Genomic DNA, 27548 nt, shown 5'->3' on the forward strand with positions numbered 1-27548 from the left:
TTCAAGCAATTCTTTTGCCTTAGCCTCCCACGTAGCTGGGATTACAGGCATGTGCCACCACACCCGCCTAATGTTTTTGTATTTTTAGTAGAGACAGGGTTTCTCCATGTTGGTCAGGCTGATCTCGAACTCCCCACCTCAGGTGATCCACTCGGCTCGGCATCCCAAAGTAAGCCACCACACCCCTCCCCTATGGTCTTCTTTTAGGAGCCATTCAGCGGCATTGGTTGAGCACTGACTCTTAGCCCTGGTGTTGAGAACTCAAGAGGGCACCTGCCCAAGAGACAGTCACAAACGAGGACACACTCTCTCAAATCCAGATGGATTCTCAGCTTTTGCCATGCTTTTTAGGCCTATATTTCACTTAATTAATAGCTGGTATATAACATATTACCTTTTTTATTTCAGATGACTAGATAGTTAAACAAGCAATCAGGACCTGCTGTTCTCAGTTATTTTCTGGGATTTGGTGACCCAACTTCATGTTCCCCATCCTCTTATGCTTCACAATTATTTAATCTTCATTCATCTTCTGCTCAACCATCCTCCATCCACCCTGAAAAGTTCTATTTTTAAATTCTATTCTCATGTCATTGATCATTTCAACAACCACTTTTTTTCCAGACTACTTTTACCAGTCTTTTAGGTTTTTTTTTTTTTTTTTTTTTTTTTTTTTACAGGGTCTGACTCTGTTGTCCAGACTGGAGAGTACAGTGGCACAGTATGGCTCACTGCAGCCTTGACCTCGCAGGCTCAAGTGATTCTCCAACCTCAGCCTCCTGGGTAGCTGGGACTACAGGTGTGTGCCACCACGCTCAGCTCATTTTTGTATTTTTTGTAGAAATGGGGTTTCACCATGTTTCCCAGGCTGGTCTCAAACTCCTGGGCTCAAGAGATTCACCTGCTTTGGCCTCCCAGAGTGCTGGGATTACAGGCGTGAGCCACTATGCACAGCCTCTGTTAGGTTTTTAAGGTATGTTTTCCTGCTACATTTGAGATAGCCATGGATGTATGTGCCCAGAGGCTGGGAAGGAAAAATTATTCCCATCTTAAAATATCTTAAAAATATGTACAGATTTATTGTAAATCAAAATTTTCCTCATAACTACAGCCCCTTCCCACACATAAAATTCCCCCTAAATCAGGAACATAATGTACAGCCTGTTTTTAACTTGTATTTTTCCATTCACACTATGTCACAAAAAAATTCTCATGGTGATCCATGATTTCACAGGTCCTGTCCATGTGTTTCCTGAGAAGACAGTCCTGGAATGGAATTACTAATTCAAAAGGCATTTTTAAGGCTGTTACACATACTGCCAAATCGGCCTTCAGGAGGATGACACAAATTTCCACCTATGTCATCTGAGCGTGCCACTATCTGCTGCTATTGCCCCATGTTTGAGGTTTTGTCCTTTCTCCTCATTCTCATGGGCAACTGTCAACATCACCACCACTGTGATCCTGAAAAGAAAGGCTCAGAAGACATAGACAGTCTGGGATTTTTTTTTTTCCCTACCTTTCTTTGCACTGTAGGGAAGGAGTGAGATGTGGCTGCAGGATTGGGGAATAGCTAAGTCAGAAATGAGCAGCAGTGCAACTGTGGCAATCTTGGAGGGGGGTCTCAGCCATGAAAGAGAACCAGGGGGTGCCTTGCCAGCTGGAGGCTGCAGAATCTTAGCTTGGGTGTTTTGCCTTCTCCGTGGAACTGACAGATGACAGGAATGACGTGGAGTATTCTCATCAAGCGTCTCAGCATAGTCAGTCTCTGAGATGGCAAACTTTAGGGCAAAGACACCTGGGCTGAAAGGTCCCACATTTAAAACTTGTCAGTCAGATAACTGCCCACCACCACCCTCTGTAAGATACCTAGATATGGGAACCCCACACTCTTCCCCAATAAGACTCTTGTATGACTGAAAGACTTTGTGGTTAAAAACATATCTTAATCTAACCTGTATTTTCCCTGCTGCAATTTCAGCCTTTTCCTATCTTTTCATGGTGAATGAACACCACACAGGCTTTCAGATCAGACAACTTCTGGCTCCGTCATTTACTAGCTGTATCAGTTAACACCAGCTGCTGACTTCACTTCTGCATATGCATTCCAAAATTAGTGTCTTAAAATAACAACTACTTATTACTTTTCACAAGCCTAAAAGTTGGCTGAATGGTTCTGCTGATCTGACTTGGTTAATCTTGGCTGGACACTGTCTGATTCAGCATAGGTTGACTGTCCTCTGCCTCATGTCTCTTATCATCCAGTAGAATTGCCCAGGCTTGCTTGCCTGAAGGCAGAAGAGTTCCCACTAGCAGGAGAGGGCAAGCACTTTTCAATGCACAAGCACCTTTCAAGCCTCTATTTGCATCAAGTTTGCTAATGTCCCGCTGACCAAAGCAAATCATGTGGCTTACTTCGGAGTCAGTGTGGGTAGGCATTACCCAAAGAAAGTGGCTATAGGGAAGCATGAAGATCTAGAGCCATTAGTACAATCAATCTACCACATTAACTTTGTGACCTTGGGCAATTCCCTTAGCCTCTCTGAGCTTTAACTCTATAATCTATAAAAGTGCAGAATTTTTTTGGGATTCTTTGCTATAATGTATGTAAAATGTCTGCTACACAATAAACATGCCATATTTATTAATTTTCTTTTCTCCTCCTTTTCATCATTTGAATTTTTTCTTAAATGCATATATATATGTGCATATATATATGTCCATCTCGATATATATATATGTATATATATATATATATATGACTTACTCTGTCATCCAGGTGAGAGTGCAGTGGCATGATCACAGCTCACTGCAGCCTCGACCTCCCAGGCTCGAGTGATCGTCCCACCTCAGCCTCCCAGGTAGCTGGAACTACAGATGTGTGCCACCACACCCAGCTAAATTTTTTTGTATATTTTATAGAGAAGGGTTTCATTATGTTGCTGAGGCTGGTCTTTAACTCCTGGGTTCAAGCAATCCACCCACCTTGACCTCGCAAAGTATTGGGATTACAGGCATGAGCCACCATGCCTGGCCCTTAAATGCATCATTCTTATACATTACTTTATACATACAAAGCTCGAAGATAATAATAATAAACATTATTCCCACGGCTTCTGTTGAATCCCCAACTCCTAGCCTGTGCCTAATCAAGTGTGCCCTCAATTCATTCCAATGGTCTGGAATTTGAAGACTAAAGGAATCAAAGGGTATCTCTTCCCTTTGTTCCTGGGACCATCAAGTTGTGAAATGACCTCTTGGCTTTCTGATCTGGGTCCACTACCACAAATGAAATAGAAAGGAGTTAACACATTTGCATTAACTGATGATTCTTAATAGAGGCAATAAAATGAGAAACCCCCATTTCCTAATTTAAATGTGGCTTTGGGGATAGGATAAGTATCCTGGCCGCTCCTTAGCTAATCAGGCTCCAGAAGGGACATTAATTGCAGCCAGCGCATCCTGCTGGGGAGACCCAAGGCTGCCAGCTCCCTTGCTGAGAATGGAATAGAATTTTAATTGGCTGTGAAAGCATCATGGTAGGAGGTACAGGGAAGAGTTGGTCTGCTCCCCCAAAGCAGGTTAGGGAAGCTCCAAGGGAAAGGACTCAAACAGGTGCATGGCAGCAAGAACCTCCCATGCTCAGGGGCCTTCCCAGCTGCAACACCACAGTTCCAATTCCAGGGCTGGACTCCAGCCTAGGTGAAGGACCTTCTCACACTTGGGCGATTAGTACTGGAGCACGGAGCCTGTGAATCTTCTCATCTCTGTGCTTCCCCCAACTTCCATGAGAGAAGCACCACATAGTTACTGTCACTTGTATTGTCAATCTTCGACTTCAGAGAGGTCTCCAAATATAAGCTCAACTCCCCAGTGTACTGTGTGTGTGCCATTTGTCCATCTGTATGGTTTGAAGCAATGGCACAGCATTCCTGTACTGTTGTTTCAGAGCAATGTGAATTTATTTCACTCAAATAAATTAATCTAACTATGCTTAGGGAAAAGTTGTTCTCATGGTAATGAGTATGTCCTTTCTGCCATGGCAATTTCTGGAACACAAATATAGAAAAGAATGACATGTGAAGGTCAATAGATGAGACTATGAAAAACAAGACAATATAGCTTTTTAGCATAAATGTACAATGATGCATGTGGTTTTTGGAGAATGTTGGACAAATTACTTAACCTCTTGGTGCCTTAGTTTTCTAATTATTAAAATGAGGGCAACAGTATTGCTGATCTAATAAGGCTTTTGGAAAGAATAATGAGATGTAAAGAGCTTAGAATAGTGCAGAGTCTTAATAAACATGTCTTCGTGATTCCTTCTAGTGAAGTGACATAGAGAAGTGGGACCAGTCATTGACCCACCCAAGCTCTGTCAACCTAGTGGTATAGTAAATCTGTTGGCAAAAAGCAAAGCAGAACAACAAAAAAACGCAAGCAAAATCATTGCTTTCAGGAAACTATTTTGTGAGACAGAAGCTTGATAAAAATTCAAAATTTGCAGTAAACTCTACTTCATTAATACTTTAAAACTCACAGCAATAAACCATTACTTAGAACAAGTAAGCAGTTTTGTTTTTATTGTGCATTTTGATATTTATTTTCAAAAAAAAATTTTTTTTTTGAGACGGAGTCTCGCTCTGTCACCCAGGCTGGAGTGCAGTGGTGTGATCTCGGCTCACTGCAAGCTCCGCCTCCTGGGTTCACTCCATTCTCCTGCCTCAGCCTCCCAAGTAGCTGGGACTACAGGCGCCTGCCACCACGCCCATCTAATTTTTTTTTTTTTTTTGTATTTTTAGTAGAGACGGGGTTTCACCATGTTAGCCAGGATGGTATTTATCTCCTGACCTCGTGATCCACCCGCCTCTGCCTCCCAAAGTGCTGGGATTACAGGCATGAGCCACTGCGCCTGGCTATTTTCAAATTTTTATTGAAAGTTCATCACAAACTCAGTAAGGAAGGTGAGCAATACATTGAAGAGGACCATTGAAAATGGAATTTTAGGCCGGGTGTGGTGGTTTATTCCTGTAATCTCAACACTTTGGGAGGCTGAGGTGGGCGGATCACTTGAGGTCAGGAGTTCAAGACCAGCCTGGCCAACACAATGAAACCCCGTCTCCACTAAAAACACAAAAATTAACCAGGTGTGGTGGTGGGTGCCTGTAATCACAGTTACTTGAGAGGCTGTGGCAGGAGAATCGCTTGAACCTGGGAGGTGGAGGTTGCAGTGAGCCAAGATAGCACCACTGCACTCCAGCCTGGGTGACAAGGTGAGACTCTGTATCAAAAAAAAAAAAAAAAAAAAAAAAAAGAAAATGGCATTTTGTAATTATAAAGATGTATTTATAAAGATATAAAGGATCCTAATTTGTAATCCCCCCAAAATCACACCTCAATTCCATTTCTTCTCTCACAGCTCCTTTCTCCATTCATACTTCCTGTCTCTTCATTGAGGAATAAAACATCCTGGTTTAAGCTCAGAACATAGGAATGAAAATAGGGAAGAAAATATGTGAACAATGCACAGTGTTCTCTCCAAAATGGCAAGAACGTCATCTCCTAGAAAAGCACTCAGAAGTCCTTGGCCTTTGGGAAAAAAGAGCTTGCGGAAGATGACATTGGTTCATTGTCCTTAAAAGGCAGAACAGGCCTCCCACTATTGAAAACAGCTCATTCCCTTCCACACCTGGTCCTCAGATCATGCTTGGGTGCCCAGGCTCCTGTGCTTAATCTTTCTTAACTGGATCATCAGTGCTTGGGAAATGGGCAGGATAACAATTTAAAGAGATAATTGACTGCACAAATCAGCTCATCCCTTCAAGGGATAAATTTTCTCACACTTTCTGGTTCTGTAATAGGTCAGGGCTGTTGGAGACAGAGCTGGCTTTTTCCCTGATGTCCAGGGTCCTGAAATGAAGTATGGCTGGGCCACTTGACTGGGAGTGCAGTTACAGAAGCCAATGCTGGTGCTGCAGAGAGCGCAATGCCCAAAGTGGGTGCATCTCTGATGGTGTAAAGGATGAAGAACAAGCTCTGAGGAAGGTTAGGTAAGTTCCTGGCTTTCAGTCTGTCCCCTCCACCTGCCAAGTGAGCAAGTCTGTTCCTCTTGCCAAGTGAGCTGCTGTTTTTCTCGTTGGTTAAATGGGATGTTGGATAAATCATCTCTACTAGTCTGACAGTTTTTTATATTTAAAGATTTTATAAATTATACAAAGGTTCTGTAGATGAAAAGCAACACCAGATTCCAGGAATTGCTTAAAGGTGAGGTAGGCCAAAGGCATAGAAGCAGGAGTTCTTTGTAAAGGAAGGGAGCAGCACACTTCATGGGCAGGTCAAGAGGTCACCTGGAAATGGCACCAACAGCTACTGGAAACCTCCTACCCACCCCAGGACCCTGAAACAGGGAACTTGGAAAGAGAAATTTAGGGTTGTGTGTCTGCACCACAACAGAGGGTGAGACATGTCATGGGGGTACTCAGGTTACTGGAAAGATTTGCTGCCTAGAGTAGAAAAAGGTAGATTTCTATTGCTCACCCCAAATCATGTATAAAGAGCTTCTGATTCACTTCCTCATGCATCTTAACTTTTACTTGGCTTCTCATATATACATATAGATTCTAGAATGAGTTTCCTTGACATGGGGACATAAGTATTCTAGGTATTGAAAAGGAGCATCTTCAATTGTAGCTATAAATCATCTTTCTGGTCTCTATCTTGATTTCTTATTAGTTTTCTTGGCTTGAATTATGACTTCACAGGATATGAATACCCAGGGATAAAGGGCCACTAAATCAAGGTGCCAGACTTGCAAAACTGACACCTAGATCCCTCAATAGAGGAAAGAGAAGCTGTTTGTAATGACCGAGGACAAATTGAATGGTTTCCCTCAGGCCAAAATTTCTCCTAAGGTTGATCACCTCTTCTCTTCTTGTCCTAATTCTCCTTGCACTCTCATCCAAATAGGAGATGCATCATTCCTAAAATGTATATAAGGCCAACATAATGTATTTTTGTTTTTATTCCATTTTTGTTTTTGCTCTATAAATCTCCATCAGTCAAGTCTGTCTGAGACCCTAGGGCAATGTAGAAAACATTCATAGGGAGGCTGAGGTGGGCGGATCACCTGAGGTCCGGAGTTTGAGACCAGCCTGGCTAACATGGAGAAACCCCATCTCTACTGAAAATACAAAAATGATCCAGGCATGGTGGCATGTGTTTGTAGTCCCAACTACTCAGAAGGCTGAGGCAGGAGAATCGCTTGAACCCAGGAGGTGGAGGTTGCAGTGAGCCGAGATCACGCCATTGTACTCCAGTCTGGGCAACACAGTGAGACTCCGTCTCAAAAAAAAAAGAAAACATTCATAGACTGCATGGAAGTCATTCAATTCAGCATGCAAGCATCCCATGCATCCTATTCCTAATCATTCACTAGCCTCTCAGTGACAGGAAGCTTACTACCTCACAAGGGTACCCACTGCATTAAAAAAAAAATTGTTCCAATCAACAAATGCTTGCTGGAGAAATGAATAAATATTAGATTACAAGCTGCAGGAGGGCAGGACTATGTGTAAGGCATGGCAAAGAGGCATTATTAAAAATGTGAAGATAATCAGGATATCTGGTGATGTGTGTCTGTATTGGTGAGTCCGGTATGCATGTGGAGCCAGGAAAGGAGATAGGTGGGTATAAGTTCAAGGTTATAAGGTATAGTTCAAGGTTCAAGTGTACCAGGTCTGTCTGAATGTGCATGTGGTCATGGTCTATAGTTTGAATGCTCTTTTGCAGCGATTTCCTCCATCACCTGTCCCACCTCTGTCTTCTGGGATAAATCCTTATTCCTATTCACCTTAAGTATCACCTTTCTTGCTCCGGCTCTAACGCTAAGACAAAAATTTCAGAGGCAAGAAGAATGGAAGAGAGGAAGAGAAGAAGAGAACATGAGACAAAAGAGCCAGCCTGGGGTGCTAAGGAGCTGCCAAAAGACTCAAAGTAGCAGAATGGGTGGGCAGGCCCTCACTGCCTGAGCCAAGCCAGCACCTGTTCACACCCACAGACTCAGACTCTATGGCCAAGAGCACTGAATCCATGTTTTTGGCCTTCCACTAATCAGACTGGTTTTTATCACAGGCCCATATGGAGATGGAGCAACTTGCATCATCCTGGTCATATAAAAGAAATCAAGGGCTGATTGTCCTTGCCAACCGTCTCCCTGTACTCAGCCCGTCGGAGGAATGACATTACATAAATCCTCAAACATAAAGAGGCATAAGGACGGCACACATCTTGCCTTGGCATCCCACATATCTAATCTAAACATTCTCTGTTCTCACCAGGACATCCCAACACATTACCTAACCACACCCCACCCCTCCTGCACCAAAACATTTTTTTATAATAGTTGTCATTATCATTATTGTCATCATCATTACCATAATTATCATCATTGTAGAGACTGTCTGAGTTCACCATTTCAACTCCAAGGACATTTTGATTCTGTATTTATACATGCAAAGTTTTAATTGAAATTATACATGCAAAGTTTTAATTGAAATTTATCTGCATTGATAAACTCTCATTGACAATCTATTCTCCAAAGAGAATTCTCTTTAGCCAATTTAATTTTTGATCAATCTTTTAAAATATAGAACAGTTAAATTGTTTCCATTTTTTCCCATTTCTAATTTAATGTTATTGAAACTTTCCTCAGGATAAATCATTTTATAAGTAAAATAGGCATTAACCACTTGATAAGTTGATCAGTTTTGGATCCGTATCAAAATTTACTAATTATAGTTCTGTCAATGAAGACTTTATTGTGTGTCTTTATAATCTTTCCAAATCTATTTTTTTCTAGATCAAAGTTTGCAGATCTGAATTTTGTCAAGACATTATAATCTTCTGCCAGATTTTAATAAACCATACATTTAACTGAGGGTGGTTTTGATCACTATCAGTTTTATCTTATATTGAATACTTCTAAATATCATCAGAGTGAAGGTGTCCTGCCATATTATAGCAAGGGTACGTTACTAACTGCTCAGTATATATGGGCATCAAGTAAACATTATCTCATTTAATCCTACAGCAGTGTTGAGGGGTGGATATTATTATCCCCATTTTATAGATAAGTGAACTGAGGCTAGAAATGAGGTCACTTGCCCAATCTCATACAGAGACTCTGTGATACACCTGGGAATTAAAAACCAGGACTTTGGGTGTTAAAATCTCCTTTTTTTTCCCCTACTGTACTATTTTTTCCAGTGTCTCTCAATTCATTCATAAGTATACTGTGTTCACTGGCTGTACATGCATCTCATAACACATTTTGCCTTGTTTTTGCCTACCTCCTGTCCTCTCTCTCTCTCTCACACACACACACATACACACACACATCCCCTTTGTGCTCCCAATAAAGCACAACAGACTGCCACTGTGCTCCAGGCCTCACCCTGGGAGCAGCACGACTTCCTCTCTCCTCCCGCCCTGGTAGGTGAGTCCCACAGCGGCCCCAGGAACCACCTGGAAGGAGCTCCCATGGCCAGCACGTTAGATGGGCCCTCTCAGGTGTGCCTCTCTCTGAGTTCCAACTGGGAAACCTGAAGGAGGCAGCCCCGCAGGGACTCACAGGGGCTCAACCGCTGGCTGAGGGAGTCCATCAGTGTTGTTTTATCTAGAAAGGAAGAGCATGGTTTCTCAGTGGAGCACATCCAGACAGTTTCCTTTTTTACAACAAATTACAAGGGGGGTGGGAAGGAAAGGAAATGGAGGAATAGAGGGAGGGAGAGGGGTTTCTATTTTTAAACCCTTGCTAGGCATTAGTTCTGTGGAAGTTTCTGTGAGGAAGGAAGTAGGAAGAAAAGATGGGAGTGAGCAAGGGGTAACTGGTGGGAGGGGTAAGGTCTAGGGAAGTGATTTTCAAATCAACGTTTTTTTTTGGAACTGGAATCTTTTCTCCAAAGGTATCCTATGAATAAATGCCAATATGAAAAATAAATAAAAGGAGAGCTGTTTATCTCCATGGACATAGGCAGCTTCCTGAGCCCTGCCCGCTTGGCTTCTCCCAGAGCACATGGAGGCCCCCGTGACAGCTCGACTGAATACAGGTTGAAACCACTTGTTGAGCAGGGTAAGGGAAAAGGATCACATTTCCATGTATTCATTCATTCGTTCATGAAATACTTATTGATGCCTAGGTGCTGAGGTGGGAAGAGCGCTTGAGGCCAGGATTTTGAGACTAGCCTGGGCAACATGGCAAGACCCCTATCTCTACAGAAAAATTTAAAATTTAAAAAACTTAGCTAGGCATGGTGGCATGCATCTATAGTCCCAGCTGTCCAGAAGGCTGACATGGGAGGATTGCTTGAGCCCAGGAGTTCAAGGCTGCAGTGAGCTATGATTGAGCCACTGCACTCCAGCCTGAGTAACAAAGCGAGACCCTATCTCAAGAAAACAAAAACAAAGAAAACCCTCAAAGTTGGAGAAAATATGTGTTTAGACAAGACAAAAAGGCTGGGTGCGGTAGTTCATGCCTATAATCCCAACACTTTGGGAGGCTGAGGCAGGCAGATCGCTTGAGCTCAGGAGTTTGAGAGCATCCTGGGTAACATGGTGAAAACCTGTCTCTAACTCTCAAAAATACAAAAATTAGCTGGGGTTGGTGGTATGTGACTGTAGTCCCAGCTAGCTGAGAAGCTGTTCAGAGGATGGCTTGAGCCAAGGAGGCAGAGTTTCCAGTGAGCCATGATGGTGCCACTGCACTCCAGCCTGGGCAACAGAGCCAGACCCTCTCTCAAAAAGAGAAAAGAAAAAAAGTCAGGCACATGGAGCTCTATCCTGAACTCCAGGCCTTACTCCCTAGAATCTGTTTCCTGTATCACCCACGCTGAATGCTGATGATAGGCCTGTGCAATCCATATAGGCAGATGGCACAGAAGAGCCCTACAGTGTGCCTGGTACTGCCTAAGGTGTGGCTTGTAAGCCAGGCCTGCACTCTGCTTCCGGAACTCTGAGTTGTGATCCTTCCACTAACTTGCTTGTGCTTCTCAGCATTTGCCCCTGAGAGTCCTCAGAAAGACATCTTGCAAACTGATACAGGAACCCAGACTATGACGTATGCGTGCTGCCCAGACAGTTATATATCATTCATAGCTCATTAACCTGAGCTAAAAATAGAAAGCCACTGCCATAGCCAGCTGTGAATCCTCCAGGGTCTGATCCTGGTTTGATTCTAATTATACAACCTGCTTAGCAACTCCTGGTCCCCTGTTCCCCTTTTTTTCCTATTCTTTTCGAAGAAGGGTGTGGATATTCAAACCTATTCATGGTTTTCATGTTTGCTCCTTGTGAACGGCAGAAGCAAAGTACTTGGAGAGGGAAGAGAATGGTTATCATGGTCAAAATGAAGTCTTGGGACTAGCTATAGATTTCCATCTCCTTGCCTTTTGGTCAATCTTCACCCCAACCACCAATCCCCTATAAGCATAAAAACTGGAGAATTGATTCTAGTGGCAACATATCTTCACAAAGCATTTGGTTCTGAAGATCCCATGACACTTTAAAGACGGTTTCTGGAAAAACCTAATTAATCCTCACAGTGTGTCTTTCAGGGAAGAGGTTTTGATCTGCATCTACCCTGAAGCTGGAACAGAATAAGACAGGTGAAAATTATAGCAGGAGAAATTCAAGCTAGAAGAGAGGTAGAATTACCAGATGGTATGGACATGAAATAGATTACCATGGCAGCTGGTATAACTCTTTTTCCAAAATATTTTTAACACAGGCACGATCTCCCTATAGTGGACATAGGACACTTTCCTTTGCTTATCCTGTTCAACTCACGTGGTCCACGTGAAGCTAAATTGCACCTACCACATCCAAGTTCCTAGGGTGTACATATAACCCCAGCCTAACTAATCAGAAGACTCCTACCCTGGGACACAGTGATTGGTTTAGAAATGGGTTACATGACCCAAACCATCTGAGGAGGGCTTCCCAGGGATTTTACTTAAGCTTTATTGGAAAAAACTATTTTAGTCTGAGCTGAGTTTATGAGCTACAAGTACAAGATAAACTTGGAAACCATCTTGCTTCCACATGGAGAGACCTGAGCTAGACCCAGCTACACAGACCAAGGGATGAAAATAGAAAGAGAGGCCTCAGCTGTAACCACATGCAGCCATTCACTTCAGCTTCCCTGTTTTCGTATAATTCCTTTTTTTAATTATTATTTTGCATGATGTAGTTCCACTTGGCTTTCTGCCCCCTTTCAACCAAAAGAGCTCTAACTGATATAGCTCCATTTCCCTGATTCCGAAGCCCAATCCCATCCTAGCTACAAACACACACCACCTATCTAGAATGGCTTTGGTGCCTTCTGGCTCAAAACTGAGGAGCTGGCAAGAAGAGGGGATGATGACAAACTAATAACTCTAGGATTATCCTTCCCATTTTATGATAGGCAAAGTATAGAACCACTGGGCCTAGATGAGACCCTGGAGGCACCTACCCAGTGCAATCACTCAAGTGGTGCCAGGCGCCTCTCAACTTTGCTACCAAGTGGTCACCTAGCCTTGACTCCAGTGATGAGTCTCCATCCTTGCTGAGGCTGCTCTTTCACTTTGGGGCAGTACTAATCATTAGATAGTTCTTTCTTTTCTTTTCTTTTTTTGAGGTAGGGTCTCACTCTGTCACCCAGGCTGGAGTGCAGTGGCATGATCATAGCTCACCGCAGCCTCAACCTTCTGGGCTCAAGCAATCCTCCCCCCTCAGCCTCCCGAGTAGCTGGGACTACAGGTGCATGACACCAAGCCCAGCTAATTTTTCTAAATTATTTATATAGACATTCTCCTTATGTTGCCTGGACTGGCCTTGAGCTCCTGGGCTCAAGCGATCCTCCTGCCTCAGCCTCTGAAAGTATTAAGATTACAGGTGTGAGCCATCATACCCAGCCAGTTCTTCCTTAAACTGAATCAAAATCTAGTTGTCTGTTATTTCTAGCCACTGGCCCTCTCTTCTGGGGTGATGCAGGGTAAGCTTGCTCTCTGCTGCATGATAACCTTCAAAGTAGTGGTGGGTAGCCAGTCTGGCTTTCTGGTCCTGCCATGTATTCCAGCTACTCTTCATGTCACATGGTTTTAAGTCTCTTCTTACAGTCACGTTTTTATTAATCTACTTTTGGGGGCATGTGGCATTCAGGGCTTCATCCTGCACAAGAGAGGTGTTAGGCTGACAAAATAGGAGTATGGGAGGTCTGTTACTCCCCTTTCCTGGATTCCATACTTCAGTGAGGATAGACTAGGACCACATTAACATCACAAGTGATGGGAAGGAGTGGGGGAAGGATTATTTTAAATTAAATAGTAATATATTGGATTATAAAGAAGTCAAATACATTAAGAAGGAAGCCAAATATTACCTACAATCCTACCATCTAGAGATAAGCACTGCTAGCACCTTATTATCTCTCCTCTAATCTTTTCTCTATACAAATATAAACATAATTTTCAAATAAACTTTAGAATCAAATTCTGAATACTTATTAGATTCAGGAGCATATCCCATGCCATTAAGTAATTCATGGAAATATTATTGGTGAGGGCTCCATAATAGTCCATGTCTGAATTTTTAAATCATGTCTTTTTTTTTGGGTGGGGGGGATCTCACTTTGTCAGAGTCTCACTCTGTCATCCAGGCTGGAGTGTAGTGGCACCATCTCAGCTCACTGCAACCTCCGCCTCCCAAGTTCAAGTGATTCTCCTGCCTCATCCTCCTGAGTAGCTGGGATTACAGTCATGCGTCACCACACCTGGTTAATTTTTGTGTTTTTAGTAGAGATGGGGTTTCACCATGTTGGGCAGGCTGGTCTCAAACTCATGGCCTCAAGTGACCCACCTGCCTTGGCCTCCCAAAGTGCTGGGATTACAGGTGTGAGCCACTGCACTCGGCCGTAAATCATGTCTTTATTGTTAAACACTTAGGTTTCCTCACATTTTTGCTTTAATAGACAACCACAGTTTGAACATTTTTAGTAAAAATTTATAGAAATAAGATTAGAAATCAGTAGGGTAAGAACCTTTTTTATTATTATTTTAAATTACCAGACCATGGGCTTGCATAAGAGTAAGGACTTCTGTAAGGTTCTTGCATCTTCTTAGCAAATTCTAGCCCAGAAACGACTTAGCCATTTATTCTCCCATCCATAGTGTATGAAGCACTTGTCTTATCACTTTCTGCTCAGGATTAGGTATTATAATTTTTATATTGTAATCAGTGTATTAGGAGCAAATGGTATCCAATTGCTGTTTTAAGTTGTATACATTGATTATAAGGTTGATTTGTTTTTAGGTTTGATGAAATAATTTTTTATTAAATTTTATTTTAACTTAGATTCAAGAATACATACGCATGTTTGTTACATGGGTATATTGTGTACTGGTGGGGATTGAGTTTCCAGCATATCTGTTTCTCAAATAGTGAACATTGTGTCCATCAGATAATTTTTCAACCCTTATCCACCTTCTGGAGTCCCCAGTGCTTATTATTTCCACCTTTATGTCCACTTGTGTCCATTGTTTAACTCCCATTTATAATTGGGAACATGTAGTTTTCTGTGTCTGGGTTCCTTTACTTAGGATAATGGCTTCCGGCTTCATCCATGTTGCTACAAAGAACATGATTTCATTCTTTTTATGTCTATGTAATATTCCAAGGTGTATATATACCACATTTTCTTTATCCAGTCAGCTGCTGATAGTCACTTAGGTTGGTTCTATGACTCTGACATTGTGAATAGTGCTGTGATGAACAAACAAGTACAGGTGTCTTTTTTAACATAATGATTTCTTTTCCTTTGGGTAGATACACAGTGTGGAGGTTGAACTAACTTCATTCTCACCAACAGTGTATAAGCATTCCCTTTTCTCCATATCCATGCCATCTGTTGTTTTCTGACTTTTTACTAATAGCCTTTCTGACTAGTATAATATGATATCTCATTGTGGTTTTAATTTGCATTCCTCTGATGGTTAATGATGTTGAGCATTTTTTGGTGTGTTTGTTAGCTGCTTGGATGTCTTCTTTCGAGAAATGTCTATTCATGCCCTTTGCCCAGTTTTTAATGGAGTTTTTCTTGTTGAGTTATTTGAGTTCCCTGTAGGTTCTGGACATTAGTCATTTGTCAGAGGCATAATTTGCAATTATTTTCTCCCATTCTATAGGTTGTCTGTTTGCTCTGTTGATTATTTTATTTTGCTGTGCAGAAGCTTTTTTGGTTTAACTAAGTCCCATTTGTCTGTTTTTGGTTTTGTTGCTTTGCTTTTGGGATCTTCATTGTAAATTCTCTGCCTAGACCAATGTCCAGGGAGTTTTTTCTTGGCTTTCTTCTAGGATTTTTATAGTTTCAAGTCTTACATTTAGTCTTTAATCCACCTTGAGTTAATTTTTGTGTATGGTGAGAGAGAGGGGTCCAGTTTCATTCTTCTGCACCTTGTTAGCCAATTATCCCAGCACCATTAACTGAATAGGGTGTCCTTTCCCCATTGTTTATTTTTGTCAAGTTTGTGAAAGGTCAATTTGTTGTAGGTATGTGGCTTTTTTTCTGGGTTCTCTATTCTGTTCCATTGATCTATGTTGATAAAACAATTTTTAAATTGAATAAATTTGGTTCCTCTATGTGACTTCCATTGATTTTAGAGGCAAATGGCATCTAATTTCTCTTTTAAGTTGCATTCCTTTGATTATTAGTAAAGTTGAACATTTCTAGTTCATTAAAACAGGTTTTAAATGGAGTAAAATTGATTCTTTTACTATTTTATTCCTAGTGTGCTACTTTCACAAATTAGAAAAAATTACTGATATTAAATTCTAAAGACTAAACGTTATGGCTTCCCTAGGCCTGATTGTAAAGCTCCCGTACCTACTTCACAGGTCAGTTTTGAAGGAGCAAATGGCATGTAACATGAGGTGGCACTTGAAACTTTACTATCACATGTAAGCAAGTGTCCCTATCTTCCTCTTTCTGTCTCTGACAGCTCTCCATCTCTTTCAACCTTGTTCACAACTATTAGACATGATCCCTAGAAAAGGAAAGGGTGTAGAGAGATCTGCTTTCTCAGAATTGTGAAAGGAGCATAGATTTTTTCAGGGCTTTCAAAGGCTGATGTGAATATTGTATGAAACACATTAAAGATATCTGATTCTCCTGCCATTTAAATGATTTGAGTCAGCCAGTAAATACCATTAATTAAGGATCCACTCTAGGCTAAGCCCTGAAATAAGCATTATGGGAAGCACTTAGGGCTAAGGCAATAATGGAGAAAGGGAAGTCACTGCAGAGAGAAGAGACAGTGGGGCTGGAGAACAGCAATAAGAAGAGCCATTGATTCTATTTCCCTCTTGCATCCTAGGTCTAACTTCTCAGTGCCAGGTGAAAGGGGATTATAAGACAGCTAGTCTGCATTGTAGTTGTATGTTATAATCACAAGATACTGTTTGGAAAGACTTAAATTAGATCTCTAGTTTACCCCTATACCAGAATAAATTCTAGATGGATTTAGCATGCAATGACTTTTAACAAATGTCTTTTGTACATCTACTGTGTACCAGTTGCTAGGTTAGGTTCTTAAAATGAAAAACAGATATGGTTTCTGCCCTCCATAGAGTTTACAATCTAATTAGGGGTGCATATATTAAATAAGTAGACAAATGATGTAACTACTTTTTTTTTTTTTTTTTGAGACAGTCTCACTCCACTGCCCAGGCTGGAGTGCAGTGGTGCAATCTCAGCTAACTGCAACCTCTGCCTCTAGGGTTCAAGCAATTCTCCCACTGCAGTCTCCTGAGTAGCTGGGATTACAGGCACACGCCACCACGCCCAGCTAATTTTTGTATTTTTGTAGAGATGGGTTTTCACCATGTTAGCCAGGCTGGTCCTGAACTCCTGGCCTTAAGTGATCCACCTGCCTCAGCCTCCCAAAGTGCTGGGGTTACAGGCAAGAGCCACCGTGCTTGGCCTGTAACTACAATTATTGATAAAAGTTAAAAAGGAAAATAATAGGATGCTAAAAGAAAGAAGACCAGGGTTAGGGAAACCTCCTTTAGGTTATGTAACCAGGAAAGACTTCTCTAAGCAGATGGTATTTAATTTGAGATTTGAGGAATAAGAAGGAGCCACTCGGTTGAAGAGCAAAGGAAGATCATTCCAGGCAGAGAGGGCAAGTGGTAAGAAGAGCATGAGAGGTGACAGAGCTAGAAAGAAAACACAGATAAATATTTTTACAACCATGGAACAGAGAAGCCCTTTCTAAATGTGACTCCAAAAAAAGCTGGAACCACAGTAGTCAGACGACATCAGAATTTTTAAATTCTTCATGGCAGAGACCACATAAAGCTAAAGACAAATGGTAAACTGGTAAAAATCATTATAACTTGAATGTCAATATATTATTGTCCTTACTAGATTGAAAGTACTTAAAACTAAATATCAGAAAATTTAATACTCCCAAAGAAGGGGAAAAAGGTCAAGCAAATTCACAAAACAAGAAACACAAATAATCAATAAATATTGGAAATCTTCTTTAGTAAATAGAGACATAAACCTTAGAACAATAATGACATGCTATTGTTTACTCCTGATAGTGGCAGAGATTTAAAAGAATGGTAATTCACAGAATCAAGGAGAGTATGGAGAAGCAAGTATTCTATTCTCTGCTAGTCGGTGGGAATGTGCATTGGTATAACCCTTTCTAGAAAACAGAGAGTAAAGGCTTTAAAAATACACATATTCTTCAACTCAGCAAGTCTGCTGCTAGGAATTTGTTGTAAGGAAGCACCCTCAGTTCTGCAGAAAAATTTAACTATCAGGATGTTCATTATACTATATTCTATTATGATTTAAAATCAGAGACAACCTCAGGAGACTATATTCATACAATGGAATACAGTGAAGTTATTAAGAAGAATTTTGTTAAATTTATATTTTACTGACATGAAAATGCCTTCAAGATGTTGAGTAGAAAAGTGCAGCTTACAAAACAGCACTTTCAATGGGACTGTATTTCGTTTTAAAATACCATATATATGCATAGAAATGTCCGTAAAATGTTAACAATGGATTTCTCTAAGCGATGAGATTACATGTAACTTTTACTTTTTATATCTTTATATTTTATATGACCTTTTTAGAATGAGTGTGCATTACCGTTTATACTAAGAAAAAATTAAGCTGTTTTCTTACTGAGATGGGTAAAAAGTGAGTCATCCCAGTCGCCTTAGGCCAGAAGGAACTGGAAGAGGATCCCATCTATTTCGCTTCCTGGGAGCAGGTCTGTCTGATCTGCATCACTGGAGCCCTCCAGAGCAGGGCTAATCCCTAAGGGAGGCGACATCCTCCATCAGGGTCTTTCTATCCCTGGTTTAGACACAGTCACCATCCACATAAGCCCTCTGCTCAATGTTTTCTCTTTTCCCAGGGAAACAAAGCCCTTTGCTGCTCTGATTCATCGCCTGGTTGGAGGCCGAGTCACCACAGCTCAGACGCAGGTGTCTGGGGGTGACACAGCGCGACACTGCGCCTCCGGAATAAGGGCAGTCCTTCCGCCTTCGAGGCTGTGAAATGTCAGGCATGATTAGAAAGGTCACTTGTCCTGATAGCTCTCTGTGCTTCCCGGAGAGCAGCCTTCCTGCTGAGAACATTCTTAATTGTGCTTCCTGCTGTGGGGTCCCTGCCTGCTCACGCCCCTTTCTAAAACGGAGGCCCTATCTTCCTCCTAGTCCCTCTTGAACATGTGGGAAAATTGCTGAGGACTGCAAAATCTTGCAAAAACAGGGCAGCTCTCTGATTCAAGGAAAGAGATGAAAGGCAAATTTCTAGAACGGGGTATTGCATAGTGGAAGAAGGAAATTTCATTCTTGAAGAAATGAAATAGGTCCACAGTCCTGGGAAATGGGGGGCGGGAGAGGGGTGCGGGGACAGGGTCAGAAGAACTGAGGCACAAAAAAATAGATACACCCCCAAATCCCAAAATTATACCAGTAGAGCCAGGAACTAAGAGTAGTGTCAAGGTACTAAGTAAAAACTGAACACTGAGACAGAAGTTCCTAAATTGCTATGTACTTCTTGCCCCACCCCCAGAACTTCTGATTCTGCAGGTCCAAGGTGTTGTCCAGAAATCTGCATTTTGAAAAAGGTACCCCAGGTCATTGAGAAGCAGGTGATCTGTGCACTTTACTTTGAGAATCCTGGCATAAGGGATGAGGAGAGACTAGTCACTGGGCACATCAGAGGACTCCAAGGGGGAATTCCTTACATTTTGCTCAACAGGAGTGGCTACGGACGTCTGAGTAATCTAAGCATGACCAGCATGGGATGAGGTGGGAGAGGGGGACTGCCTGCAAGGGAGGGAAAGGATGAGCACTCTCCAACCTTCTCCAACCTTCTAACCTCTTCAGCCCAAGCTGGTCTGGAAGGGGCTTCTGAACCTGTCAAGTCCAAGCCTGATATGAGTGCCCCCACCCCCCAAAGCCATACTCTTTCATTGGCGTCTTTATAGAGGACCTGCTCTCCAGTGATACATTGCTGGACAATTATCTTATGGCAGAGCCATTGGTTGGTAGTGTTATTTTCTTATCTCATAGAAGTTTCTGGGGTAATGGGAATATTTTTATGTGTATTTAGCTTTTATCATATCTTGTCAGGGAAATGCAGCAGGAAGGTTGGGCTCTAAAACATTAAATCCAACTAAACCCCCTCTCCTCCCATGAGGAGCCAATTTGGGTGCCCACATGCAACATCAGCTTCCTAATCCTTTTTTGTTTTTTTTTAGAAACAGGGTCTCACTCTGTCGCCCAGGCTGGAGTGCAGTGGTGTGATCTTGGCTCACTGCAACCTTCCACCTCCTGGGTTCAAGTGATCTCATGTCTCAGCCTCTCAAGTAGCTGAGATTACAGGTACAAGCCACAACGCCTGGCTAATTTTTGTATTTTTAGTAGAGATGGGGTTTCGCCATGTTGGCCACACTGGTCTCGAACTCCTGACCTCAAGTGATCCACCCCCCTTGGCCTCCCAAAGTGCTGGGATTACAGGCATGAGCCACCATGCCCAGCCCCTAATCCTTTTAAAGCAAGCTTTTTTTACACCTCTCTATAAGCGGGTAAAGTAGAGAAAGCATATGACCGGGTCGTGTGGTGATGGCGTGAAGGATATGAATGGAAGAGTAAACAGTGGACACATTGACTATCAGAGAATTCTGCAATTCCAGGACAGTTTGTGCTGATGGAGGACAATAGAAAGATCTCAGCCATTGTGCCAGCTGTCTGACACTGAGAAGGTAAAGGGAGTAGGTGTGAAGATTACTAGGAAAACAAGAGTTCTTCCAAGCAAATGCAACCAGCGCTTCCGAGGCTGATCTTAGATACAAGCTGTGGAAATGAAAGCATGTTGCTCATTGCAGAATCTTTCCTTCTTACAGCAGGAAGCTCGATTCAAGTCACCAGCAGAAAACAGAGTTGCCTTCATGTCTTTACTCTCAAGGTTCTGCAGGTTAGTGCCTCGATCTAAGTTTTCCTTACCTTGGCACAGGTCATCCTTAAATGAATGTTACAGCAAGGGAAGCAGGCAGTTCCTCACCACCTCTGTTGAGCAAAATGTAAGGGAAAGGGAGCCGAAGCAGAAAGCATCCTTAAGCGGGCAAACGAACGCCCCTCCCAGGCCAGCCAACTGCTGTAGGGGACGGGGATGTAGCAGTGAACAAATCAAACAAAGCCCTTGCTCTCAGGGGACTCATTCCAGCAGGACAAGATAGACTTTAATAAACAGGTAATTTCAAAATATATATGGGAGGGGGTCATAAGTGCTATGAAGATAATTAAATCTCAATAAAGGGATGGAGAGCAATGGAAAGTACCAGAGGGGTTCAGGGAAAGCCTTAGGTGATGAAATTTGAGCAGAGACTGGAAGGAAGTGAGGGAGTGAACTGTGTGAATATCAGAGGGAAGACCAGACAGGGAGGAGGGCAAGTTCACAGGCCCTGAGGTAGGAGCAGGCTGATGTGAGAAAAGAGGCTGCCGTGAATGAGAATGGCAGGAAATGAAATCAGAGAGGTGCCAGGGGCTCCACTGCCCAGGGCCTTGCTGTCATGATGGGACTTTGGGTTAACACACAGAAAGCGCTTACAGCTAAAGAGATTTTCCTCACCCCCAAACTTTAATGATGTGACTAAGAAAAAATCATCAAAGCTACTTCTTTAGGGGATTTTAAAGACACAGATTTCAGAAAAGGGACACACAAAAATGAAAGCAGTCTATGTAGGGGAGGTAGGATTATGGATTTTCTTTTCTTTTTTCAAAAAAGAAAAGAATTTGTGATTGCTGAAATAATTCTGGAATATGAAATATATTTACCTTAAAACAAATCTACCTGCCGGGTGCGGTGGCTCACATCTGTAATGCCGGCACTTTGCGGGGCTGAGGCAGGCGGATCACTTGAGGTCAGGAGTTCAAAACCAGCCTGGCCAACACGGTGAAACCCTGTTTCTACTAAAAATACAAAAATTAGCCCAGTGTGGTGGCGGGTGCCTGTAATCCCAGCTATTTGGGAGGATGAGGCAGGAGAATCGCTTAAACCCAAGAAGCAGAGATTGCAGTGAGCCGAAATCGTGCCACTGCATTCCAGCCTGGGCAACAGAGTGAGATTCCATCTAAAACAAAACAAAACAAAACAAAACAAACACAAATCTACCACCACAGGGGCAATGGACAGGGGGTGCTTCTGTATCCCCAGTGTTTGGAATTGTACCCAGTGCACGGCAGACACTCATAAATGCTCGTGGAATCAATGAAATGAACCTCTTGAGACAGGTTACATGTCCTGTCTAGAGCAAGAGAATAAGAAACTATCCAGGCCCTACCTGAAGCAAGTCAATATAATCCTAATTTCTTTACCTCATTCTTAGAGTTTTGCAATTTTCAAATTATTCATGCCCTATAGAGAGTTTGATAATTAAAGAAATACTATGATTTTGAGCACAGAAGCTATAGAAACTTTTATTGGTCTCTTGGGAAACATAATAAGCCTCTTCTTTGACTTCAGGCTCTGGATTTTCTGCTGAAACTGGTAATGGGAGAAACAGGATTGAATAAGGAAATCTACACTAGATGCTGGGATTTACATCCCCAGCCCGTCACTCAAACTGCCTCCTTCCACAAGGACTGAGATGCCAAACTTCCCAGGCTCACTACTCTCAGGATGATAGAACTAATACCCCCAACTGCTTGGCCTGCCCTCACAAACAGCACTTGCCATTGTCATCTAGAAAGCCACATTCCTCACCAGAGCCTTCACTTGCTGCCTGGCTGGTCCTTGACATGCTCCTCCAATCTGGATGTTTCTGTGAGTTTAGAAGCTGAATCATTAGTCAATGCCTTGGTTGAGTGTTTCTTCCTCTCCCCAGTGTGATGGGTGGTGTTAAAGGGAAAGTAAAAAATCTGCCACAGAACTAAGATTACTGTAAGACACAAAGATATATTTAGGGAACATAAGGGACTCATTATTAAACAAACCCGTAAACTATATCAGCTGTTAAGGTATTACTCCTTCCATATTTTCTGAGAAGCAAATAAGAAAGAAGGATGCCATGTATTAACTCTTTTTGACCCAGTTCCTATGGGTGCTTTATTCCCTGCCTCTCTTATGAGGATCCAGTTTAGTGAATAATAAACACTTCCAGTGATTGAGTCCTTACTAAAGGCCAGGTTCTCTAATAAGCATTTCACATTGCTTAACTCATTCAATCCTTTGGGGAAGATATTATTATCCCCATTTACAGATTGAAGCAACTGAGGCTTTGAGGCATGAAATCATTTACTTAAAATCACACAGCCAGCAAATGGGCAACCCAGGTTTAAAACCAATGTCTACCCAATTCCAAGGCCCATGTTTTAAGCCACTACCCTATTATGCAGCCTCTCATAGCAGATAAGGTTGTAGAGCTATAGCCTCTTTTTCTTTCTTTCTTTCTTTCTTTCTTTCTTTCTTTCTTTCTTTCTTTCTTTCTTTCTTTCTTTCTTTCTTTTTTTTTTTTTGAGATGGAGTCCCACTCTGTCACCCAGGCTGGAGTGCAATGGCGCGATCTCGGCTCACTGCAACCTCTGCCTCCCAGGTTCAAATGATTCTCCTGCCTCAGCCTCCTGAGTAGCTGGGATTACAGGCATGCACTACCATGCCTGGCTTTTTTTTTTTTTTTTTTGTATTTTTAGTAGAGACGGGGTTTCACCATGTTGGTCAGTCTGGTCTCGAACTCCTGACCTCGTGATACACCTGCCTCGGCCTCCCAAAGTGCTGGGATTACAAGCAGAGCCACCGCACCCAGATGCCTCTTTTTCTTTAAGTAAGATTTTGCAAAATTTCTCTGAAGTTGAGTAAGAGTGAAGAATAATGATGTTGGAATGCCAGAGCTATAATACACAGTTCAAAACTAGAACTTTGGAGCGAGACAAGAAGTTCTTTTAGCCCAGAAAATAGGCTTCCTACTGTCTGTAGGAAACTCTTAACTCTTCAGTCAAGACTCCAGGGCTTCTCACAATCTGGACTAATTACCTCCCATCCATTCATTCAGTCAAACAAATATTAAATTAGATACCGACTATGTGCCAGGCAATAGGAATGCAATGGTAAATACAAATAGAATGGCCCCCACTCTCATGAAGCTCATCATTTTGAGGTGTATGGATATATATACAATTAACATATGTATATCCATAATATCTAAAATAACATGAAATTGCAATGGTGGTTAAGTTCAATGCAAGACAGAAATGTGGTGCTGTAAGAGGGGATTGGTCGGTCCTTGAAGGAATGATGCTTGAGCCAAGATATGAATGATGGCTAGGAACTGAGTTGGCAAAGAGGGGAGGGAAAATGCTAATGGAATAATCCACCCATTCTGTCCTTTCTCCCTCTCAGCTTGCCATAGCGGAAACCTGAATCTTGTTAAATGGAGATGGGCAATACAGGCAATGGATCCTTCAGGTCTCCTTCTTCCAAGCAAATGTAGCCCTGGGAACACTTTCATTGAAAAGAAAGAAGAGACAAAGTGACTGGTGACTGGTGATACAAAATCAGAATAGGGATATTGGTATTTTATCTTCCAATATGTCTTCTGGACTTCTTGGTGATACTACTAATCAGGCGGGAGTGCTGTTGTCCCATATACTGCATTTGTATGACTCAGAAAAAGAAGCCCATTCCTCCAGGAAGAATCAGCCTTGGGCATCTTGCTTGAGGAGGAGAGCATGGGCTCAATTTCTATTGCAGTGACTAGCTTCTCCAACCCAAACCAGCTACTCTTCTCCAATGAACAACCTGAACATCCACACATGGTGGACCTGTGAATAGACCTTTGTTTTACAAGTTGCTGTGACTGAAATGGCTGTGAAATGAGGACTAAACTGACCGCAAGCATTGTGCACAATGAGGTATACTTAAGGGGATGTGTGTGTGTGTGTGTCCTGGTAAATAACTGAATTGCCAAAGATGTCTACAGAAGTCCAAGGTGGGTAACAAGAATGAGAACCAACAAAGGCAGCATCTCCTAAAATGTGTTTAGCAGGACCAACTTACCAGGAGATAATGAAAAAGCAAGAGGTGGACCTCAAGTCATTAGGAGAGAAGAAAATTAAAACCAGACGATTGGCCCACTGGTGATAAGTTGCCTGGAATAATCAGAGAATTTGAAGGCTGGCTTGGTTATCCCTGGAATCTGGCCCAATTCTGGTTTATAGCAAATGTTGTTAACTAGGGGGTCCATCAGTGACCTTCAGGGGACCTGTGAACCTCCTGAAATTACAGTATTATTTTGCATGTATGTGTGCATACACACTTTTGCTGTGGAGGGTCTTAGCAGTCATCAGATTATCGGATTAAGAACTGGTCTCGGCCAGGCACGGTGGCTCACGCCTGTAATCTCAACACTTTGGGAGGCCGAGGCAGGCGGATCACCTGAGATCAGGAGTTCGAAACCAGCCTGGCCAACATGGCGAAACCCCATCTCTACTAAAAATACAAAAATTAGCCGGGTGCGGTGGTGGGTGCCTGTAGTCCCAGCTACTAGGGAGGCTGAGGTGGGAGAATAATTTGAACCCAGAAGGTGGAGGTTGCAGTGAGCCAAGATCCTGCCATTGCACTACTGTCACCTGGGCGACAGAGCGAGACTCCGTCTCAAAAAAAAGAACCGGTCTCAAGATACACAGGTGACCCAGCTGGGTGGGTCAGAGTGCATTTTGTTGAACATGGAAACATTATACCATAAGATGTCCTGTTAGAAAACAAAGCTATTTACTATTAAGGCCAAGAAAGTTGTAATTTTTCTTGGAAAGAAGCTACTAATGCCTCAGAAGAACCTTTTTCCTCTTGTATGGAGTTTGATCACCTTGCCCATAAGAATCCAATGGTAATTCTCTGAGAGGCTTGGGTTTTCTGAATGAGTGTACCTAATATTGAATAAGCAAAGTGTGTTCCTCATTAGATGTTCAAACTGATACCCTAGTAAGTTATATTTACATTCTCTCAACCTCCTTAAGCTTATAGTAATTAATTTTCTCCTTTTTTGCAATCATCCAAATGAGTGGGTAAGAATCTGGGCCCTGGAGTCCTTCAATCTGAAATGCAAGATATGGCTCTTCCAGATACCAGTTGGAGAGGTTTGTATGTAATTTTATCACCCTGAATTTCAGTTTCAGCACTTGGTAAAATGGAGATAATAATAGTATCTACTGCACTGTCAACATTAGACAGATCAACGAGACAGAAAGTCAACAAGGATACCCAGGAATTGAACTCAGCTCTGCGCCAAGCAGACCTAATAGACATCTACAGAACTCTCCACCCCAAATCAACAGAATATACATTTTTTTCAGCATCACACCACACCTATTCCAAAATTGACCACATACTGGGAAGTAAAGCACTCCTCAGCAAATGTAAAAGAACACAAATTATAACAAACTATCTCTCAGACCACAGTGCAATCAAACTAGAACTCAGGATTAAGAAACTCACTCAAAACCACTCAACTACATGGAAACTGAACAACCTGCTCCTGAATGACTACTGGGTACATAATGAAATAAAGGCAGAAATAAAGATGTTCTTTGAAACCAACGAGAACAAAGACACAACATACCAGAAACTCTGGGACGCATTCAAAGCAGTGTGTAGAAGGAAATTTATAGCACTAAATGCCCACAAGAGAAAGCAGGAAAGATCTAAAATTGACACCCTAACATCACAATTAAAAGAACTAGAAAAGCAAGAGCAAACACATTCAAAAGACAGCAGAAGGCAAGAAATAACTAAAATCAGAGCAGAACTGAAGGAAATAGACACACAAAAAAACCCTTCAAAAAATTAATGAATCCAGGAGCTGGTTTTTTGAAAGGATCAACAAAATTGATAGACCGCTAGCAAGACTAATAAAGAAAAAAAGAGAGAAGAATCAAATAGACGCAATAAAAAATGATAAAGGGGATATCACCACCGATCCCACAGAAATACAAACTACCATCAGAGAATACTACAAACACCTCTATGCAAATAAACTAGAAAATCTAGAAGAAATGGATAAATTCCTCGACACATACACTCTCCCAAGACTAAACCAGGAAGAAGTTGAATCTCTGAATAGACCAATAACAGGAGCTGAAATTGTGGCAATAATCAATAGCTTACCAACCAAAAAGAGTCCAGGACCAGATGGATTCACAGCCGAATTCTACCAGAGGTACAAGGAGGAACTGGTACCATTCCTTCTGAAACTATTCCAATCAATAGAAAAAGAGGGAACCCTCCCTAACTCATTTTATGAGGCCAGCATCATCCTGATACAAAAGCCGGGCAGAGACACAACCAAAAAAGAGAATTTTAGACCAATATCCTTGATGAACATCGATGCAAAAATCCTCAATAAAATACTGGCAAACCGAATCCAGCAGCACATCAAAAAGCTTATCTACCATGATCAAGTGGGCTTCATCCCTGGGATGCAAGGCTGGTTCAATATATGCAAATCAATAAATGTAATCCAGCATATAAACAGAACCAAAGACAAAAACCACATGATTATCTCAATAGATGCAGAAAAGGCCTTTGACAAAATTCAACAACATTCATGCTAAAAACTCTCAATAAATTAGGTATTGATGGGTCGTATCTCAAAATAATAAGAGCTATCTATGACAAACCCACAGCCAATATCATACTGAATGGGCAAAAACTGGAAGCATTCCCTTTGAAAACGGGCACAAGACAGGGATGCCCTCTCTCACCACTCCTATTCAACATAGTGTTGGAAGTTCTGGCCAGGGCAATTAGGCAGGAGAAGGAAATAAAGGGTATTCAATTAGGAGAAGAGGAAGTCAAATTGTCCCTGTTTGCAGACGACATGACTGTATATCTAGAAAACCCCATTGTCTCAGCCCAAAATCTTCTTAAGCTGATAAGCAACCTCATCAAAGTCTCAGGATACAAAATCAATGTACAAAAATCACAAGCATTC

At 42.0% G+C, this 27548-nt stretch overlaps 1 protein-coding gene and 1 long non-coding RNA gene across 4 annotated transcripts in view, besides 3 other annotated features; one reads left to right on the forward strand and one right to left on the reverse strand.

Moving 5' to 3' along the window:
• Window positions 1–27548, reverse strand: part of MARCHF4 (membrane associated ring-CH-type finger 4) — a 114619-nt gene that overhangs the window by 39745 nt on the left and 47326 nt on the right. The window lies entirely within an intron of this gene.
• Window positions 5699–26489, forward strand: MARCHF4-AS1 (MARCHF4 antisense RNA 1). Of its 3 annotated transcripts, none has more exons than XR_001739876.2 (4): window positions 5699–6050; window positions 20469–20539; window positions 22088–22387; window positions 23960–26479. It is a non-coding gene; the product is annotated as an MARCHF4 antisense RNA 1 (long non-coding RNA). The 3 variants fall into 3 exon arrangements; XR_001739878.2 differs by having other exon boundaries at window positions 5699–6045; window positions 23960–25801; XR_001739877.2 differs by lacking the exon at window positions 22088–22387 and having other exon boundaries at window positions 23960–26489.
• Window positions 17879–19078: an enhancer, noted in NCBI's record as "CDK7 strongly-dependent group 2 enhancer chr2:217180211-217181410 (GRCh37/hg19 assembly coordinates)". NCBI's record gives its function as "activates an origin of replication core promoter dependent on BRD2, BRD4, P300/CBP, MED14 and CDK7 cofactors, with strong dependence on CDK7, by STARR-seq in HCT116 cells {active_cell/tissue: HCT116}" and the evidence as "EXISTENCE:reporter gene assay evidence [ECO:0000049][PMID:35650434]".
• Window positions 21099–21830: an enhancer, noted in NCBI's record as "H3K27ac hESC enhancer chr2:217183431-217184162 (GRCh37/hg19 assembly coordinates)". NCBI's record gives its function as "activates a minimal SCP1, AML or CMV promoter by ChIP-STARR-seq in primed H9 embryonic stem cells {active_cell/tissue: H9 hESC(primed)}" and the evidence as "EXISTENCE:reporter gene assay evidence [ECO:0000049][PMID:30033119]".
• Window positions 21831–22562: an enhancer, noted in NCBI's record as "OCT4-NANOG-H3K27ac hESC enhancer chr2:217184163-217184894 (GRCh37/hg19 assembly coordinates)". NCBI's record gives its function as "activates a minimal SCP1, AML or CMV promoter by ChIP-STARR-seq in primed H9 embryonic stem cells {active_cell/tissue: H9 hESC(primed)}" and the evidence as "EXISTENCE:reporter gene assay evidence [ECO:0000049][PMID:30033119]".

The sequence above is a fragment of the Homo sapiens genome, chromosome 2 (assembly GCF_000001405.40).
Source record: "Homo sapiens chromosome 2, GRCh38.p14 Primary Assembly".
Classification (NCBI taxonomy): Eukaryota; Metazoa; Chordata; class Mammalia; order Primates; family Hominidae; genus Homo; species Homo sapiens.